The sequence below is a fragment of the Homo sapiens genome, chromosome 9, assembly GCF_000001405.40.
Source record: "Homo sapiens chromosome 9, GRCh38.p14 Primary Assembly".
In the NCBI taxonomy this organism is placed as follows: domain Eukaryota; kingdom Metazoa; phylum Chordata; class Mammalia; order Primates; family Hominidae; genus Homo; species Homo sapiens.
In genome coordinates, this window is record NC_000009.12 from 41040588 (window position 1) to 41063027 (window position 22440).

At 37.3% G+C, this 22440-nt stretch overlaps 1 pseudogene across 1 annotated transcript in view; it reads right to left on the reverse strand.

The window, feature by feature from the left end:
• PGM5P2 (phosphoglucomutase 5 pseudogene 2) overlaps positions 1-22440 on the reverse strand; it is a 67615-nt pseudogene that overhangs the window by 33577 nt on the left and 11598 nt on the right. Inside the window, exons 2-4 of the transcript NR_002836.2 lie at positions 13150-13312; positions 6956-7102; positions 3913-4038 (exon numbers count right to left, since the gene is read on the reverse strand). The product of NR_002836.2 is annotated as a phosphoglucomutase 5 pseudogene 2 (transcript). The remainder of the gene's footprint in view (positions 1-3912; positions 4039-6955; positions 7103-13149; positions 13313-22440) is intronic.

The window sequence follows — 22440 nt, forward strand, 5'->3', positions numbered from 1 at the left end:
AACCTTCTCCCCAGAGTATTTTGTTCTGAATAGTACAGGAAACACCATTTAATAACCCAGAAGAAAAATATAAATTTACAATCGTTTTAAAGATACAATATAGAACAATATTTGCTTGAACTACTATTTATTGAGCATCTACTATGTGCCAGTTACTGTGGTAGGAATACAGAAGATGTATTCAATCATCTAGTTACATACATTTTTTCACCTGAAATTTTTCTAAAAGTTTGCCAGAAAGAAATCAGCTACATAATAATGATTCATTGCCTGTTGCTTTTCATGTATTAAAAGCTTTAGCTGAATATATGCAAAAGCATTAAAGGGCTCTAGCAATGTTCTTTGTTTCTGCAATCATTTGGACTTTGCCAAGTATATAATTAAACACTATAAACCACTGAAGCATATAAAAACAAGCACATTTTACCAAAATACATGCCAAGGAATAGTATTTTCCAGTTCAATGAACATTATGGAGTATGCAATATGGAGCTGCTCTGCTAGGAAATGAAGGGATCATATTGAAGGGATGCAAAGCACATAGTTTCTACATTCCTGGGCTTGTAATCTAGTAGTGGGATGAGTCAAAGCTGCAAATGAATGACTGCAGTGGTAAGACTAAACAATGCACATTGATGAAATAATTATATCCAATGGCTTCAGAGAAGCAATAACCACACATAAGGCTTCAAGGAAGAAGCAGCATTTCTGGTGGAACTTGACAGAATAATATAAAGTTGGCAAGTGTTTGGGTTTGGAGTGGGAAGCCCATCTAAATCGAAGGAACATTATGAGCAAGGGAACAGAGCCTGAGGTAGAACATAAGGCACATTTGTGGAACAGCATGTAATCCTCCTAGCTGAAATATCTGAAAGATATTGCTTTCCACTTATTTTCCACCAATACAACACACAATCCTCCAATAGTGAACATCTCTTGATTGTGCCTGCCCAGCACACATTTCCTCTTCCTCTGGATACAGCATTTGGGATTTCTATTGGAGAAAAACTCCCTTCCCCATCTCAGTTCATGGGGTCTGGGTATGGCTAAATCCCACCTCCCCAAGGCTAAGGAGGTGACCTAGGTCTGCGCAATCAGCGTCCTCCATCTTCTAGCCAGAGCAATTGATTCAAAGATGGACATACAGTATAAACCAGGCAATGAGGCTGAAACCCAGAATCATTGCTCATACTATTTGGAAAAAAAGCAAAGCTGTCTTCCCTGTAGGCCAGATAATGCTAAGGCAAGAACCTGAAAGTTCTTTTCCTGAGGAATATGATCAGCCCAACAAGAAAGAACAGAACAGCCTAGCCAGAAGCCCTTAGAGTAAGGCCCATGGAGAAGACCCACAGCAGGCTCAGAGCTCCCAGCAGATTTTTAGTGCCTCATTCTTAAATATGCCAGAAAGCCAAGGATCACCAAAATTTTGAGGAATGTATTTGAGATGAGGTGAAAATAAACAAAAAGTAAAGAGAAACCTGGAGGAAACAAAAATTATACAGGGAGAAGAAAACTTTTTAAAATATATCAGTAATATCCTAATAGAGATTAACAAGATAGAGTAGAATGGCTAAAATGGAAAAGACTGACAGTACCAAGTATTGGTGAAGATACAGATAAACTGGAGCCCTCATGCATTGCCAGTGGTGCAAATGGAACAGGCATTTTGGAAAATGATTTGGCCATTTCTTATAAAGGTAAACATACACGTATCATATGACTCAGCAATCCCATTCCTAGCTGTTTACCCAAGACAAATGAAAACGTACAGACTTGTTCACGAATGTTCACAGTATCTTTCTTTACAATAGCCAACAACTAGAAGAAAAATCTAATTTTCATTAACCAGTGAATAGATAAACAAATGGTGGTATATCGACAACACAATAAAATTGTACTCAGCAGTAAAAGGAACAACTACTGAACTACTGATACATGCAACACCAAGAATGTATATCAAAATTATTATGCTGAGTGAAAGAAGCTTGAAGCAAAAGGTGACATATTGTATGCTTCCATTTATATAACTTTCTGGAAAATGCAAAACTATGGGAGCAGAAAGCAGATGAGTGGTTGCCAGGGGCTGGGGATAAGGGGAGAGGTTTGACTACAAAGGGCTGCAAAAAACTCTTTGAGGTGATGGAAATATTCAATCTTGATTGTGATAGTGGTTACATGGCTGTATATATTCGTCAAATCTTATCAAACTGTATATCTACTAGGAGTGAGTTTTATTGTGTATAAATTATACCTCAGTAAACCTAAGTTTAAAAAGATACGGTATCCATGAAACATAACTAGGATGTATTTTTACAAGAGAGAATCTTTGGAAAATACAAACAAAAGTTTTGGGAAATTAAAAATATAATGGTAGAACTAAAGGACTGGAAGATAAAGTCAAGGAAATTTCCCAGAAAGTAGAACAAAATAAAGAGATGAAAAACTGGGGAGGAGAAGGGGAAATAGAATAATTAAAGGATCAATTCAGTAGTAAAAATAACCAGAATGGTTACTAAATAGTAATTCAAAAACTTTTCCAGAATTAAAGGACACAAGTGTTCAGACTGAAAGGGTCCATCAGGTGTCCGATATAATAAAGATAGAGTCCCACACTAAGATCCATTATTGTAAAACAGAGGAACACTGAAGATAAGTCAAAGGTCCTAAAAGCTTCCAGAGAAGAAAAAGGAAAGACAATGGATTAAAAATCAAAATAGCACTGGATTTCTCAAGTTTAATATAATAGCTAAAACACAGTAGAGCAATGCCCTCAAACTTCTGAAGAAAAATAATATCCAACATAGATTTCCATATCAGTCAAATATTAATCAAGGGCAAGTGTAGAATAAAAGGCCTTTTCAGATATACAATACACAAAATATTTACCTACCATGAGCTTTCTCTCACTGAGTTCCTGGAGAATGTGTTCCTCCAAAATGTACCAGTAAATCAAGGTGTCAGACAAAGAAACCAGGGGACAGGACATTTAACATAAGAGATGTGTAAAAAGAATTACTACCATGGTGATAAAGGGAGATTTCATGATGACAGCATGCTCAGAGAGCAACCAGGGCAGAGTGGGGCAGATCAAAGTCTCCAGGAAAATGAAGTGAAGGAAGATTTAGACACTAGCGGAGAGCTTGAGGATTAAGAGTGGTAAACATACTTGATTAAAAGCAAGCAATGAGAAAACAAGATAATTGCTGTTTCCAAGGAAATCAAAAAGTTGTACTGTAAAGGAAATATAATTATAGCATATTGCATGGCTCAGCAGTGTTGTGGTAATGTAAACACTAGATAATGATCTTACCAAACTGGTGATATAATTAGGGAAGCATGCTAGGATTCCCTAACTGGTGGGTGGAAAGGGTGGGTGGAGAGGTGGGTGGTGGGTGGAGAGGGTGAAAAAGAGCTGCAGCTCCAGTTCCTGTAGTATGAATTCAGTAATGCTCAAAACTGAAAAATCAACAAGGGTCTGTATATTCATAATATTTAATGATAGGGAGATAAATACAAAAAGAAACAGCTGAAAAAATTGAAAAATTTAACTCTGGAAGGTAACAAATTGGGGGAAGATAGGAGTTGGGTACAGATTTTTTTCACAATAAATCTTGAACTATTTATTTGACTGTTTAAACTATGCCATGCATATGATCAAATAAATAACAGTTTTACTATACTCCACACTTGAACATGCATAGCCTCAAACTCATTTGTTCAACTTTTGTTTTCATTTACATCCAAAGACAGAAATAAGGGTCCTGAAGTTTTCCAGAGCATTCCAAATATCTGAACATACACATGTTGTGTGAATATCTATGAATCCAACTTTCCTCTTAACCTCTGAAACCCAACAGGTGTAGAGGTCTCAATATTTCCTGCCCACTGATTTGGAGAAAATCACAAGCTTACCTCCATGCATTGCATCAACGCGAATCTTCAGTTGGCTGGGCCCAGTCAGCAAACTCTTGATGGCATGAAAGTCAAAGATGGTCTGAAGGAGGTTAAGATAGATATCCACTGGGTCCACTATCTCCACTAAAGATAGAAAAACAAAGGAAAATGTCATTGACTGTACCCATGAAAGATACTTGGAAGCATAAAAAGAATCACTACCTTAACAGCATGAAATTCTGGTCACAAGCCCATCATATCCCTACACATGACGTGGGAAGCGAAGTGCCCATTTGTTGACAAAAATCACAAATCAGGGCACAATCAAGATACTACAAGCTTTTCAGGTGCTCAATGGGTACAAATGATACCAAGTTATAAATTATTCTTTGCAAGGAAAATATCAACCACAAGAATAAATTAAGATTAAAATGTGCCCTGTTACTCCTGCTCCCACTTCCCCTCCCAAAAAAATGCACACAGCACACATCTCAATGTTTAGAGGCATTTTGGCATATCCAGTTGCCTTTCTTGTGGGGGCTGGCCAAAGACTGACTCAGCTGGTATGAAACAAATCAGCAAGTGACCTCAGTAGTGACCCCTGTTTTCCAAATGCCATTGTGCCTACCAGATTCGAGTGCAGAATTGGTGATGAATATATTCCTGGGTTTGCGTGAAATCTCATTCATGCCCAATCTAGCACCCAATTTCCAAGTGAATGGCAAATATCTAGAAGTTCTCATTAAACACAAATGCTTTCCAGTATCTAGCACCACCCAGTAACCAAGAATCCAAAAAGTTTTATTCATTTATGTGACATACCAAAAAGCTCAGAATACATTTTTCATACTTGTCAATCAGTGTATAATTAATGCTCGGAAAGTACTTTTCCAAGAAGTAGTAAATCAATTCTTTAGGTGCTAAAATTTGTCCAGGAGCCCTGCTTTTTTAAATTCTTAGCTAAATTTTGAAACTTATGTATATTGTTTTCAGATTTTTCAAATACATACTACTTTGAAACCCTGAAATACTTTTAAACTTGCACTGAAGATATTACCAACCCACTTTCAATAATTTTTAGTAAATCCAGGTGTGATATTTAATGGATGAGATCTTAATATGCCATATATTATCCCTTCATCTGATCAAATACATATCTAAAAATATTTTTTCTTACACTTAAGTCAATGTAATCTATGTGTTCATTCAAATATAGTTATATTTGTAACATGGATACTTTTAAATTATCTTTTTACATGAGGAGCATAATAATCTACGAAGTAATTAAAAATTAACCTGTATAAAGTGTACACCTGACAGTGGTTAAAATGGTAAATTTTGTTATGTATATTTTACTGCCATAAAAAAATTAATCTGTAAGACAAAAGGTTATGCCCTGAGTACTTTGGAAGTTTTACTCACTCTACATTATAGGATAATGTTTTTGACAATTTCATTCTGGCTCTTCAATTCTTGAACCACTTGCCTAAATACATTTGGTATTTACAATAGGTAACACACAGTACCAAACAAATGTGAAAAACGAGGGAACAAGAAGTCAGTAAAAATTGAAAGTTCACATCATATAGTTCATGCTCTTGACACTTTAAAGTGAAATGCAAAGGAATTATTTGTTCCTAATTAACTCAAGCTTTGCTCAACACTTGAACCAGCAAGAATACAGCACATAAATTATCCCAAACGATTATCTCCAAATTCTTGGAAGCCAGGGAATCCCTCTACCTATCTCCTGGTATCAGTAACATTTTTAGAAAACTCATTCAACTAGCAATGTGGCTGCAGCAATGAGCCTGAATGAGAGCCCACGAAGATTCGGGTCTCTTGGACAACTATAAAAATTGTGAAGATGCCAAAAATAAGCCTAGTCCTTCCAACCATATGTAATCAGCGTATTGAAATCATTTTGCTTAATATAATGTACCCCTTGCCTTTAATTGTCCAGCCATCCCATGCGTGTGCACACATATGCCTATGCATTCTCCCAGCTAGATTAGCAAAAGCAGGCCCTGTTGCTTCCAGTGAGTATCATGGCTCTCTGTAAATTTCTGCTCATTACCTAAGCAAACAACTGACTCAAAACTTCTCAAGAAAGATTTGGTAACACTGGGCAAATACTGTGACCCCCACACAATCCATTTTAATCTTTTCTCTATCCCTAAAATATCACATGGACACAAACCAGGTATTTCCTCTTTTGGGCTAAGTTAAATTACTTATAAAATGAGGATACCATCTTAACACAAACTGCATTCAAGCTTATAGAAGCACTAAAAAAGTAAAACATATTAGATCTATTGCTATTCTATGCCTTCTAGGAAAAAGCAATATGATAAAATATAGGGGGAAAATGTTGTATACATACATGTTATTAATGTTGTTGTCATATGGTCTAAAATTAATCTATAAAACAAAAAGCTATCTTCTGAATACTGTAGAAGTTATATTTGCTTTACAATATAAGATAATATTTTTGACAATCTCATTTTGGTTCTTTAATTTTTGAATCACTTGCCTAAATATATTTGGTAGTTACTGAATTCCTTTGTAAAATCTCCTAACACGGTGCTTGGTATAGGGCAAGTGATCAATAATTATGCATTCAATAAGCTGATGCGTAATTATTCCAAGCTTGGTTATGGCTTGGAAAAGAAACTCCTACCTTTCATGAGAAATTTAATAACCCATTGACTTGTTAGGTTTCTTCTTAACTAAGGCATTCCAGCATCTTCACCTTAATTGCTTAGACAAGTTTTGGCAATTCACAGCCTATTTTTGGAATGCTATAATGAAGTCAACCATAAAACTTTTCCTATGTTGAAAATGATATCGAGTTTGGGAAGTGGTTTTTGAAAGTTTCCAGTTCTGAATATCTTGGCTGCTCTCATGTCTTCTCTCTACACCATATTAAGTTTACACACATTTATCGAGTCACCCCTGAGATTAACAATGCAATAATTTTCATGAGTTTACTTCCCTACAGAAACCAGTCAGCCCCATCCACATAGTTACTCTGACTTCTTCAAAATAAAATCTCTGTTACCTCTGAATGGTTTGAATTTGTTCTCTAGGTCAAATTCTTGTCTTCCTAGTCGAGATAGGTCGATTTGGAGATCAGGACATATAGCATATTCCTCAATCGTTTTGCTGATTTGGTAGATTTTGTCTGAGACAACATCGGGTGCAGGACCTAAAATTTGAACACCAAAAATACATGTTTTTAAAAGTCTCGTGAGTTTCAAGCAGTGAAATGTTACCATCCTCCTCCACCAGGCAGAGAAAGATTCATTTGTTCTCTAAACAATGATCAATGGTTCACAGTTCAATTAGCCTTGATATTTCTTATACTGTACTCATCCACTATGGGGGAAATTTGATCAGCCTCACCTGTTCTATGTAGACTAACAACCCATATGTTTGTTTGTTTGTTTTAATCCACTTCTAAGCAATGACACATCTTTCCTAAAAATAGTTTCACACCTGCCAGGGAAACCTGGTTATGTAATCAGCTTTATTCAGGTTATGAGACACAAACAGGATATGCATTTGACAGAAGTGAGGGATTCCAGATTTCCATGCAGCTTCCCCAGTGCATCTAGAAGAGGAAACTATGCTTTCTATTCCCAGCTCTGCTACCTAATTGATGTGTGAGCTTAGCAGGGTAAGTTAATTATTTTCCCCAACTCACAATCTCTAATCACTTCTAAAATGAAGCTCAACTAAAAATATATGATGCATTTCCTCGGAAGGCCAAATTGACAAGTAGTATTAGACTTTAAATAAATTGAACATGAAATCAATAATTGTTCACCTTTTGGGGTTTTGCTTTTTTTTTTTTTTTTTTTACCTTGTATATCTTAATGCAAGCCATTTCAGATTTTTTTTTTTTGCAACAAGGTTGAGAAACAAATAAGTAGATTGAAAGATCTAAAGTATAAATGATTGCTAGATGTATAGATAGTTTTCTGTATGAATCTTACTTGTCAACTATACTGTAACTTTCTACTGAACAAAAATTGTTTCTTGATTTTTAAAATATCTCAATCCTTAGAACTGCATTGTCCAATACAATTGTTACTAGTCACATTTAGCTGTTGAGCACTTAAAATGTGGCTAGTCAAGTTGAGGTGTGCTGCAATTGTAAATGCACACCAAATTTTGAAGAGTTAGTAGAAAATGCAATCGATTGCATTAATAATTTTTATATCGATGACATGGTATAATAATATTTTAGATATAGTAGTTTAAATAAAACACAATGTGAATTTCACTTGTTTCTTTTCACTTTTTTAATGTGGCTACTAAAAATGTAAAGTATGTATGTGACTCACAATATTTTTCTGTTGGACAATGCTGCCTTAGAGTGTAGCACCATCACTGTATTCCAATAAATGCTCATAAAAAAGAATAGCAATAGTCCTATTCTAGTAAGTGGGAGAGAAGACAGCCCAGAAGATTTTACCAACAATTTTCTTGTTGTGTGGGAAAAGTGAAGACCTCAAAGAAATAAAAATAGCCCTTTGCTTCACTCCTTACCATTTTTTACCCTTCACAAAACTTAAAGAATAGGTAGTCTTGTTTCATTTTTGCATTATTTTATGCTTGCCAGATTACAGAATGCATGAATATCTCCCTCCACTCCCTACACCCCAGGCACCATACTATATTCTTTGGCTGTGTCCATCATTTTCAAGTCCCTGAGTTTTAATGCCAGCACACTGATTTCCAAAAGTAAAGCAAGTACTGTCTCTCTAGATAGTTGTCTATGATGCCATTCAACCATCCATGCTGATAACTTCAGAGTTCATCAACAACTTCTGAATTCCTTTTCAATTTCCAAGCTCCTTGCTATCTTCCACTCCAATGACTTTCACCATATGCACACCGAAAATATGTACAATTATAATATATATTAAAATAATTGTTTTTTAAAGGATACGGCAAATCTACAGGCACTCATATAAAAATAAATTTTAAGATGCTAAAAAAGAATACCCAGAGATTTTAAAGTGTATAAAATAAATAAATGAAAAATGGAAAAGCTAAAAAGCTTTTTAATTTGAGGTAGTCCCATTTATTTGTTTTTGCTTTTGTAGCCCGAGCTTTTGATGTGATATCCAAGAAATCATTGCCAAGGCCAATGTCAAATAACTTTTTCCCTATGTTCTTTTCTAGGATTTTTATGGTTTCAGATCTTATGTTTAGTTCTTTTATTCATTTTGAGTTTATTTCTGTGTATAGTGTAAGATAAGGGTCCAATTTCATTCTTTTACATTTTTGTTTTCCCAGGCACCATTTATTGAAGAGGTTTTTTTCTTTCTCCATTATGTCCTCTTGGTGCCCTGCTCCAAAATTAGTTGACTATATATGTCTTGATTTATTTCTGGGCTCTCTATTCTGTTCCATTGGTCTACGTTTCTGTTTTTATGCCAGTATCATACTGTTTTGGTTTTACTTTAGCTTTGTAATATAATTTTAAATCAGCAAGTGTGGTACCTCCAACTTTTTTCCCCTCAACATTGCTTTGGTTTTTTGTGGCTCCATACAAATTTTAGTATTGCTTTTCTATTTCCATGAAGAATGTTATTGAAATTTTGATAGGGGTTGTGTTAAATCAGTATATTGTTTTTGGTAGTATGAATGTTTTAATAATATTAATGTTTTTGATCCATGATCAGTGAGCACAGGATATCTATTTATTTGTGTCTTATTCAATCAATGTTTTATAGTTTTCAGTATACTTTCACCCCTTGGTTAAATTTATTCCTAAGTATTTTTTTGATGCTATCATAAATGGCATTGTTTTCTTGATTATTTTCAGCTGGGTCATTATTTATGTATAGAAATGCTACTGATGTTTGTATGTTGATTTTGTATCCTGCAACTTATTGAATTCATTTATTAGTTCTAAAAATTTGTGTGTGTGTTTGTGTGTGTGTGTGTGTGTGTGTGTGTGCATGTGTAGAATCTTTAGAATTTTCTATATATAGGATCATATCATCTGTAAATAGAGATTATTTTACTTTCTCCTTTCCAATTTGGATGACTTTTATTTATTTTTCTTGTCTGATTGCTCTTGCTAGTACTTCCAAAACTATGTTGAATAGAAATAGCAAGAGTGAGCATCCCTGCCATGTACTAAATTGTGGAAAAGTTTTCAGTTGTCCCCAATGGATTATGATGTTAGCTGTGGGTTTCTTATAAACGACCTTTATTATGTTGAGAAACTTTCCTTCTATACCTAAAGTGTTAAGAGTTTTTGTTAAGAAAGAATGCTGAACTTTGTAAAATGCCTTTCCTGCACCAATTGAGATGATCATGTGGCTTTTATCTTTCATTCTGTTTAGCCAGTCTTGCATGTCAGGGATAAATCCCACTTGGCCATGATTCATAATTTCTTTAATGTGTTGTTGAATTTGGTTTTCGTCAATATTTATCAGAGATATTGGCCTGTGGTTTTATTTTCTTACAATATGTTTGTCTGGCTTTAGGTATCACGGTGATGCTGGCCTCACAAAATGTGTTTGGAAGTATTCCCTGTAGCTCTAATTTTTGGAAGAGTCTAAGAAGTGTTGGTAATAATTATTCTTTGAATGTTTGATAAAATTCAGCCATGAAGCCATTTGGTCCTAGGCTTTTCTATTTTGGAAAGTTTTTAATCACTTCTTCAATTTCTTTATTTGTTGTTGGAGTGTTCAAACTTTTTGTTTCTTCCCAATTCAATCTTGATGGGTTAGTTTTTCTAGAAATTTATCCAATTCTTCTAGGTCCTCCAATTTGTTGGCATAAAATTGTTCATAATAATCCCTTATGAGCATTTTTATTTCTGAGGTATCTATTGCAATGTCTCCACTTTCATTTCTGATTTTATTTATTTGAGTCTGCTTTTTTTAGTGAATCTAGCTAGGAGTTTGTAGATTTTATTTTTTCAAAGAACCAACTTTTGATTTTATTTATATTTTCTATAGTTTTACTATACTACATTTTATTTGCTTCTGTTCTGATCTTCATTATTTCCTTCCTTTTGCTCACTTTGGGTTTAGTTTGTTCTTTAGCTCCTTGGGGCATAATGTTAGTCTACTTATTTATATCTTTTTCCTTTTTTAATCTAGGCATTTATTGCTATAAACTTCTCTCTTAGAACTGACTTTGCTGCATACTGTAGGTTTTGATACATTGTGTTTCCATTGTCATTAATCTCAAAATATTTTTTAATTTCCCTCTTGATTTCTTCTTTGACCCATTAGTTCATCATAAGCATGTTCTTTAATTTCCACATATTTGTAAATTTTCCAAGATTCCTCCTGTTATTGATTTTTAGCTTCACACCATTGTGGTTGGAAACAATACTAGACATGATTTCAATCTTTTTGAATTTGTTAAGGTTTATTTTGTGGCCTAACATATGGTCTATCCTGGAGAATGTTCTATGTATGCTAGAGAAAAATGTATATTCTGCTGTTGTTGGATGAATGTAGGTCTGGTAGGTCCATTTGGTCTGAAGTATAGTTCAAATTTAGTGTTGTCTTGTTAATTTTTTGTCTGGTTGATTTCTCCATTGTTGCAAGTGGAGTACTGAAGTCCCCTATTAGTGTTATATTGCTGTATATTTCTTCCTTCATGTCCACTAATATTTGCTTTACATATTTAAGTGCTTCAATTTTGGATGCATATATGTTTACAATTGTTATGTCCTCTTGATAAGATGACCTCTTTATCATTAAATCATGACCTTCTTTGTCTCTTGGAACAGCTTTTTACTGGAAGTCTGTTTTATCTGATATAAGTATAGGCATCCCTGCTCTCTTTTGGTAACTGTCTGTTTTCATGGAATATCTCCTTCTATCCCTTTACTTTCAGTATATGCCTATTCTTAAAGTTTAAAAATGGGTCTCTTGTAGGCAGCATCTAGTTGGATCTTGTTGTTGATCCACTCAGCCATTCTATATCTTTTGATTGGACAGTTTAACCCATGTACCAGCAAGGTTATTATTGATAGTAAAAGACTTACTCCTGCCATTTTGCTAATTGTTTTCTGGTTACTTTGTAGATAATTTGTTCTCTTCTTCCTCTATTGTTGTCTACCTTTGTGGTTTGGTGGTTTAGTTTTCTGCTTTGTGGTTACAATATTGTTTTTTAAATATTCAACATGAATACACTTTCTTGTTTGGATAACATGTAAAACGTCTACAAGGAGGGATAGATAATAAGTTTTCCCTTCAGAATGCACTGCTTTGCCTGGGATGAGGAATAATTTATAATGGTAACTGTTGCTGGTTAAAATTTGGCTCCTACCCACATTCATGCAAACTCAGTGTTCTAGATTAAAAGAGATTTAAGAGACTTGCCAGGCAAATGCATGGCATCCTTAGATGTATCCTGATTTGAATAAAACAGCTATAAATAATAATATTTTTGGGATTATTGAAAAATTTGACTATAGATTAGTTTTCAGGTGATATTGGAGAATTAATGTTATTATTGTTAGGTATGTTAGCACGGTCATGCAGCAATGTGTCTTTCTTTTTAAGAGATGCATACAAAAATATTTGGGTGTGAAATGTTCTTGTGCTATAATTTGCTTTAAAATTCTTCAGAAAAAAAAGATAAGCAAAATAGAAAAACAAGATAATGGGTACATGTTATCTATTTCTTATTCTCCCTATTTTTTTGTGTGTTCAATTTTTAAAAGAAATTTACTCCATACATATATGCCACCCCCTCCACTAAGGACCCCCAAACTATAAATTGCTGTGAATATAAGAAAAAGTGAAACAATTCTATGATTTTGAGAGAAAGTCAACACTGTAGGAAAAAGAGAGCCCAGGATTTGGGCTAAAAATCATTAATCTGACCCTGATCAACCCTGTGGCCTTCAGCAGTAACTCAGCCTCTCAGGCCTTTGATTTGTTCATGTGTAAAATGAGGGTCATTGTCATTTAGACAACGACCTTCAGGGTATGTTTTAATGTTAAAATTCAGAGTCCTTCCATATCAGATAAGCATCAACTATTCAATAGTTTATGCTGAAGAGTACAGGGGACCAAGAGACCACCCAAATGGGTTCATGAGCCCATCATGCCACTTCTTTGTTGGATCACTTTGGGCACCTCACTAAATTTTTCTGAGCTAGGTCCTCTGCACCTTGCTTGTCTATCATCAAAGGGTCACTGTGAGACTATAATAATATAAGAGGAAGGAAATCGTGATTATTAAGGCATATACTGAACCACATACCTCCATTGGCAACATTAAACTTCACTCCAAACTCTCCCCCTGGTCCTCCAGGGCAGTGGCTGGCTGTTAGAATGATTCCACCAGCTGCCTTGATCTTCCTGATAATGCAGGAGACCGCAGGTGTTGACAAGATGCCATTCTGTCCAATAATCAGTCATCCAATCTAAACCATCCAAAAAAAAAAAAAAATCAATACAGTTGCTTGGGATTAAAGGCATTTCAACAGGAAAGTGCCCCAGGCTCTGTTAACATACAGCCAATCACTTGATAAAAGAAACAGAGTAGGCTTTAGATTAGGGGAGGCAGGGTAGGGGGAGCACTGACATTGTCTCTCCTATCTAATGTCTCTAAGACCATTTGGGGCACCTGCATCTAGTAGTCAATTATTAACCTGTAAATAGGATATGCCTCATTGATCTTCAGTCGTTTGAAACATCTGCTTCTGATAATCGAGGGGTTAGCTTGAATCACACAAGAAGTTCTTAGTTTGCTACTGACTCAGAAACTATGCATGTGAACATGCTAGAGATTACAAGAAAAAAGAAATGGAGTGCTTCTCTGCTTCTTCTGCTTCCTGTAACTTAGAACAAGCTCAGAGAGCAAGGGGACTGACTTAGTACAACCTCATGATCTGTGGGCATATTTTAACTGTAATCTTCAGGAATGACTTTTCTCCTGAAAGTAGGAATTCTCTTTCTGCTGTTAAGTGACAGCATGTGCTGGAGACATTGGAGAAATTACCCAGTCATGCTAAGCAGAGATCTGGAGGTCATCCATGGATGCAGCCAGATTCTTTCTAGAGCTACAAAACTGACTTTCTAAAAAGTCAGCAACACAGCGCTGAAGAACATTTATTGCTACACCTTATTTTAAAATTGGATTCAATATCATCCAATCTAGTAGTTCTCAATATTTCTACAAAATAGAATCACTTATGAAACTTTTTAAAATCCTAGTACTCAAACTGCATTCTAGACTGATGATATTGCAATCTCTGGGGTTGAGAGCCCAGCATTAGTAGTTTTAAAGCTCCACAGATGATTCCAATGTTCAGCCAAGCTCGGTAATAAAGCCCCCTTGTTACTCAAAGGGCTGGCAGCATGGGCATCACCTGCAAGCTTGATAGAAATGCAGAACCTCAGCTGGGCATGGTGGCTCCACCTGAAATCCCAGCACTTTGGGAGGCTGAGGTGGGCAGATCACTTGAGCTCCAGAGTTCGAGACCAACCTGGCCAACGTGGTGAATCCCTATTTCTACTAAAAATACAAAAATTAGCTGAGCATGGTGGTGCACGCCTGTAGTCCCAGCTACTCCGGAGGCTGAGGTGGGAGAATTGCTTGAACCTGGGAGGCAGAGGTTGCAGTGAGCTAAGATGGCACCACAGCACTCCAGCCTGGGCTACAGAGTGAGACTCTGTCTGAAGGAAGAAAGGAAGGAAGGAAGGAAGGAAGGAAGGAAGGAAGGAAGGAAGGAAGGAAAGAAAGAAAGGAAGGAAAGAAAGAAAGAAAGGAAAGAAAGAAAGGGAAAGAAAGAGAGAGAAAGAAAGAGAAAGAAAGAAAAAAGAAAAAGAAAGAAAGAGAAAGAAATAGTAAAAGAAAGAAAGAGAAAGAAAGAAATGCAGAACCTCAAGGCCCACCCAAGGCCTACCTAATAAGAACCTGTATTTTAATAAGATCCTCTCCTCTCTTCCCAGATAATTCATTTGATAAGTACTGATATAACCAACAAGCCAAAACAAACCTTAACATACAGTTCAACAACAAAGTTGCCCTGGCACCATCATTGCTAGAGGTCAGTCACTGACCAAATATAACAATCAGCGAGATCAGGGGAAAAAAATTACAGAAGAGATCAAAACACACACACACACACACACACACACACACACACACACACACACAGAGCTCAAAAGCAAAGTGGCCTTGGGATGATTTAGTATGGAAATCCACAAGATCCCCAGGCTACATATTTTAAAGTAGAGGAGACAGATTATAAACAAATAATAATAATAATAGTTACTAGTGAGGTACATATTAGGAAGGAATTAGACTGCTGTAATAGAGAATAAAGGACGTCAATTTTAATAATAATATAATAATAATAGCTAAGGGAGCTTAGATTTTATTCTAAGTACAACCAGAATCCATTGAAAGGTTTTAAACAGTGGAAGTGACCTGATTGCATTTTTAAACATCATGGGCTGAGCAGCCCAAATGGTCCTATTAAAAAGTAAGTCACATCAAGTCACTAAAACATTCCAATAGCATTCCTTGTCCCCCACCAACCCAAAACAAAGCCAAAGTCTTCATTGTAGTCTACAAGGCCCTACATAATCTGACCTCCATCATGTACCATTCTCTATCGCCCTCCCGCCCTCCTTCTTCTGTTCCAGCCACAACGGAACAGAACAGCTATTCCTCAAACATACCAAACATGATCCTGCCTCAGGGCCCTTGCATTTTCTTTTTCCTCTGCTTAGAATACTTGCCCAGATATTAACATACCTGCCCTCTACTGTCTTTTGGGTTTCTGTTTCAATGTAAGCTAATGAGAGATAGCACCCTTGACAGCCCTATATAATACTATAGCCAGAAGTCCCTAACTTTTCTATTGTTTCCTATTTCCTTCACCCTGCTATAATTTTCTGGATCACATATGTTGCCTTTAACATTTTCCATATTATTTATTTTCCCACTGTATGTAAAGCCCAAGGACTTTTTTTCACTGCTATATCCCAAGAACCTAAAATAAATCTGGCATGTGGTAAGCGTACAATAAATATTTGTTGAATTAATGAATGGAGAATAATGAATGCATGATGAATGGCTTCTCTGGGAGAAATACCTTGAAGGGGGGCAAGAGCAGAAAGAGGAATATCAGACGGGACACTCTTCAAGTCGAGTGTTGATAGAGTCTTGGACTAGGCTAGAGCCAACAGAAATGAAAATTAGTCATTTGGTTTGAGATACATTTTTGGAAGGAGGATGAACAGAATATGCAGGTGGACTGGAATATTGAAGAGAGGGGCTGTGGTAAATAGCCTCCAAAATGGCCCCAATGGTCCTTGCCTTTTGGCATTTGTGCCTTTTTGTGGTCCCCTCCCACACTGAACGATGCAGATCTGGGTAATCTGTATATATTGCAGAAGTGTTTGTGTGTGACTTCCATGGTGAGGCCATAAATGGCATGGACACTTCTGCCCTGCTCTCTTGGACAGCTTATTTTGGGAGAGGCCAGCTGCCATGTCATGAAGACACTCAAGAAGCCCTGTGAAGAGGAAGCAAGGCCTGCCAACAACAGCCAGCACCAACTTTCCAGCCAAGGGATTGAGCCATCTCACAGTGGATCCTCCAGCCCCCACCAAGCCTTCATATGACCAAACCAATACCAACATGTAACTGTGACCTCATGTGAGTCCCCAAGCCAGAATACCCATCTCCTGTCTCAGAAATGATGAGAAATAATAAATATATGTGCTCACACACATTACCATCTAATTTTCTACAATATATGTTTATTTCCCCACTGTATATAAGATCCAAGGACTGTTTTTTTTTTTCACTGCTATATTCCAAGAACCTAGAACAAATCTGGCATATGGTAAGTATACAATAAATATCTGTTGAATTAATTAATGGGAAAAAATAAATGAATGATGAATGGCTGCTCTGGAAAAAATACCTTGAAGAGTGGCAGGAGCGGAAAGAGGAGGATCAGATGGGAGGCTAACAGCCAGCACCACCTTGCCAGCCAAGTGACTGAGCCATCTTGCAGTGGATCCTCCAGCCCCCATCAAGCCCCAACTAAGCCACTAAGTTTCATGGTAATTTCTTACACTGCAATAAATAACTAATACTGGACCAGTGAGAAAAGGAGTCAAGAATAATCTCAGCTTTCTACCTTTAATAACTTAATGGATAGTGGTGCTATTAATCAAGTCAGGAAAGAGAAAGGACAATAATTACACCTATAGTATTACCCAAAGTCATGATAAATTATTTTCCATATGCTCTTGCTAAAATTTATGTAGTCATTCAACTCATTTTATTGAATATCTACCATGAAACCGGCAATATGGAAGAACCTTCTGATATAGAACTGAATATAATTTAGTCACTGCCCTCAAGTAATAAGTCTGGAGAATCAAGAATCTGAAAAATGTTTGTAGCTTTTGTTCAAAATTTTCTCTCAGCCATTTAAAGGGAAAATTATGAAGATTGTATAGTGGTGACAGACTGGGATAGCAGTCCACAAAAACTTAGGAAGCCCTTCCATAGCACAGAGTCAATGCTGAGGAACAGCTGCCCAGCCAGGGGCTACATTTTCCACCCCACCCTTGCATCTAGGTGTGGCCACATGGTGCATTTGGACAATGGGTGATAAACTAGTATGAGAATAAGAACAGAAGTAATGTGTGTTTCTTCTAGGCTGAGGATATCAGAAAACAGACATATCATCTCTACACTGCTTATTTCTCTTTCTACAGATTCAGTACAGGTAATCATGTGGCTCTAGGCAATGCCAGAGTCACAAGAGGGAAGGAAACTGAGTCCCCATCCCATTTGGTAGACAAGAGTCTTTGCCCACCAGGGACATCCTCATTGGACTATTGTGTGAGTGAGAAATAACATTCTATTGTTTTTAAGGCAATAAAAATTGCCTACATTTCAGGTTTATTTATTACAATCACCCACATTTTCTTAAGCAGTAGCGAAAGAAACATAAACAATAGTTTAATGCCAAATCAAAAATGTCAAATGCAAAATTATTTTATGCTATTACAGTATAAAATTATGTCCACTTTGGGGCAAGGACTTAGAAAAATGCAGAAATAAACATGTAAAGTTATTAAGTAGGAATGATTATAGATACATTTTTATCTTATTAAATTTCAGTTATTTTTGAAAAGGTAATATACATTCTGTTTAAGAAGGTTAAAGTGAGTAATTACACTTGAATGAAGTTTCAACCTGAAATACTTTAGTTATAATTGGAGAATTAACAGAAGATTAAATTCTAGATATCTGGAAATTTTACCTATGTGAGATCTGCTCATTAACCCATCAATACCAGAGAGAAGAGGTATTGCTGGACATGGTCCTATCATCTGGGGGATAAGTACTGGAGGAGATGTGAAAGAGAGGGTGATGGGGCTTCTAAGGTAAGACATGGAAAATTGTGAAGATATTTGTGTCCCTTATGGACACTCACCAAATGGTGACCTAGGCAGAGGAGGATTTTAATAATAGGATGACCAGTTCTGTGGATGTCAATGAGTGGCTTTCCCCCAGCCATTCCTGTCATTGTCCAATGGGCTCATGAGCCAAGTGGCTGATATGGTTTAGATGTTTGTCTCCTCCAAATCTCATATTGAAATGTAATCTTCAGTGTTAGCGGTGGGGCCCAGTGAGAGGTGTTTGGATCATGGGGGCGAGTCCCTCATGAATGGTTTAGCACCATGCCCTTGATGATAAATGTGTTCTCGCTCTGAGTTTACATGAGATCTGCTTGTTTAAAAGTATGTGGCACCTTCTCTTTTGTTCTCTTGCTCCCACTCTTGCTGTGTGATATGCCTGCTCCCACTTTGTCATCCGCCATGTGTAAAAGCTCCTGAGGCCTCACCAGAAGCCAAGGAGATGCCGGCACCAGGCTTGTACAGCCTTCAGAACCATGAGCTAAGGAAACTTCTTTTCTTTGTAAATTACCCAGCCTAAGGTATTTCTTCATAGCAATGCAAGAATGCTGTAATACCATGGCCGTGATGGCAGGGATGAAGGCTATGCATGGGCTCAACAACATGGACTTTCACTCACCAAGGCTGACCTGGCTATGGCCACTGCAGAGTGCCTACTCTACCAGCAGCAGGGACCAACACTGAGTCTCCTTATGGTACCATTCCCCAAATGATCAGCCAGCTACCTGGTGGTAGATTGGTTAATTTGGGCCACTTCCATCATGGAAGATGCAGCACTTTGTACTTACTAGAATAGACACAAAGAAGAGGAGATATGAAGACAGATGCAAAGATTGGAGTGATGCAGCCACACCCGGGAAGCCAAGGAATGTATTCTGCTGCCAGAAGCTGGAAGAGGCAGGGAGCAGATTCTCCCTAGAGCATCTACAGAGTGTGGCCATGCTGATACCTTGATTTTGACTTCTGGCCTCCAGAACTGTGAGAGAATAAATTTCTGTGATTTTAAACCACCAAATATGTGGTAATTTGTTATGGGAGTCCTAGGAAATGAATACAAAGTTTGTAATCTAATACAAAGTTTGTATTAGCTTCACAAGGCTGCTATAACAAATTGCCATAAACTTGGTGGCTAAAAGCGATTAAAATTTTTTCCCTTACAGTTCTGGAGGCCAGAAGTTCAAAATCAAGGTGTCAGTGGGGGTCTGCCTCATCGAAAGGCTCTAGGGGAGGATCCTCCCTTGCCTCTTCCAGTTTCTGTTGCCTCCACATATTTCCGAGCTTGTGTTCACATCACTCCAATCTCTGCCTCTGTTTTCACATCACTTTCTTCTCTGCGTGTCTATGTCTTCTCTTCTGTTCACCCTCTCTCTACCAATTAGCCCAGGATAAATGCCATCAGAAAAGGTATGGCTTTCAAGATCTAGTCATTGATAAAAAGAAATATAACTTTTGGAAGCCCTTTTGTATAAAGAAAAAGCACTCAACTTGAAGTTAAAAGGCATAGGTATGAGTCTTGACTCTACCCCCTGACATAGGATCAATCATTTAACTTCTCTGAGGCTCTGCATCTTTATCTGAAAAGCCAAGGAAGAAGAGGGTTGTTAAAATCCACCGAAGATCAGATTCTATAAACAAAAACTCTTTGTTAAATTAACCATGACACAAATTATTCTATTGTCTTCCCCGAATCCCACAACCCCCTCCAACATTTAAAATTCATCTTTAGATAACAGATTATCCCTTAAAGTACCATTTTACTCTCTGAAAAAGTCCTAGAAATACTACCCTCTGTCAATGCAGCAGACCGCTACCTTGCAAGGAAAAGATGGTCTACTTACATAATTATCCTTAGTTATGTTTACAACATTGAAGCAGGCAATATCTGACTTTCATTCCTGAGTGAAATCCAGACCACAGCCCAGGGAGGACCAAGCCATGGCATTCTGTTGCTCCCCACTGAACGTCCCACACCATAGGGTCTGGCTTTGGCTGGAAGAAGGGCAACCTCACCCAGTCCTCCAGAAGGTGCACACACCCAAGTGGATGCTACTGCCATTAAGGGGCATTTCCTTCAACTCCCACGTGGAAAAGGGGGCAAAGTGGACCCTAGTCCACTGTCACTCACACACATGTACAGATCCCAGGGTCCACACAGATACAGATCCCAGGGTCCACATCTATCACATATATGAACATTATCACACAGACCCCTGCAGACACATCTGTGAGGCATATGCATTCCCAAACACACAGACAGACTCATGATAAATTTGTTCCTACCCAGCCATGACTTCTAAATGCTTGGGGAAACCAAGACATAGTAGAAAGGAGTGTGCAATTATCATTTCCCATGATGCCGTTACTTAAGAACTCTTTGTGTCCGTCCTTCTAATGGCACCAATGCCTCCCATCAAGCCTTAAACCTCACCTAAATTATGTCATTGGGCTTTTTCATCCATAAATGAGCATACCAGGTGCCAAGGGAATCAATATGCCATTTCACATGCCTTAGACCAGTGTCCAAAGAAAGATAAAATGTTATTCTATAAAAGCTTTCTCCCAGCATTTCTATTCCTTTACATTTTGTGCCATATACAACTATGGTTTTTTAATGATCTTATTTCTGACAGCTGTTTTTCTTCAGAACATCAACAGCTTCTTTCCTAAATTAGTTTTAGTATGAGTTCCATTTCTAATTAGCTCAAATTAAAGTCCTAGAGAGCAGCGAGGTAATATTTAAACCCTCAGGCTAAAATTTCGGAGTAGGTGCAGAATGTTGACTCTAAATGAGTTTTTCCTGTGACATAACACGCATGAAAGCAGGATTTCTTTCATGTGTGAAATGTCTTAAATCAGACTTACCCTTTGTGATTCTCTTTTAGCTTTAAATGTCATTTAAGAAGAAAAAAGAAAAGAAAATTAAGCATGACATTCCCCAATATCCTCTGCTCACTGTGTTATAATCCCTATCACTCCACAAGTGAATTGGAGAGAGTGAAGACACAATGAACAGAAACTTCCCTGATGCTTCACAGAGGAAGTGTTCTCCGGGACCACACAGCCTCCACCATGTCCATCTACGAAGGGCTGTGGCAAGCCATATACACAAAGATGCCTGTTTCCTGTCTTCTCGGTTAAAAACAAAAACAAAACACCGGAAAAAGCCAAGCTGCCATGGGTTGCAGAGTGCCAGCCCTTAAGTAGTGTTGTTCATGGGTAAACAGGAGACGGATAAGGGCAATTTCAAGAAATAACAAACTCAAGGCATGAATGTGGTTATCCAAACATCAAGGGACTCCTTCATTTGCATTTGGATAATTGTGCAGTTATATGATTTGTTACATGGAGACCAGATGGAAGTAAGAGAGCTCATCCTCAACTTCCTGTACCTCTGGAAGTCTTTACACACATGCTGGAGAGATAGAGGAGAGTTCATTAGCATCAAACCACCATGGATTTCATAATCAATTCCTAATATCTGAATAGATGCAGAAAAGTCACAGGCATCTAGAAGTGTGGCCCAAGTTCTGTTCTTCAATCAGCCCACCCATTATCCCTATGTATCTCGATTTTGTTATCTAAAAGATCACATGATGGAGGATGTAAGCAAGTAACACAGCCAAGACCCAGTTTACAGTGTCTAGTACCTAACAGACTCTTGACACGTTTCACTTGCCCTTGAGTCAGTCTTTCCATGTCACTGAATATTCTTCCACAACACGATTTTAATGGATATAGTCGTCCATTGTTTAAATGTACCATTATTGACCAATGTAAAAATGTTCTTTTACCTCAAATTTTTATATGTAAAACAAAAACATGTTTGAGGACTAAACCCACAGTGTAGTATAAATTAAACTGGATGTAGGCCAGGCATGGTGAGTCACACCTATAGTCCCAGCACTTTGGGAAACCAAGACAGGAGGATGGCTTGAAGCCAGGAGCTCAAGAGCAGCCTGGGCAATACAGCAAGACCTCATCTCTACAAAAAAATAAGAAAAATTAGCTGGCCATGGTGGCGTGCACCTGTAGTCCCAGCTTCTTGGGAGGCTGAGGTGGGAGGATCCACTAAGCCTAGGAGTTTAAGGCTGCAGTG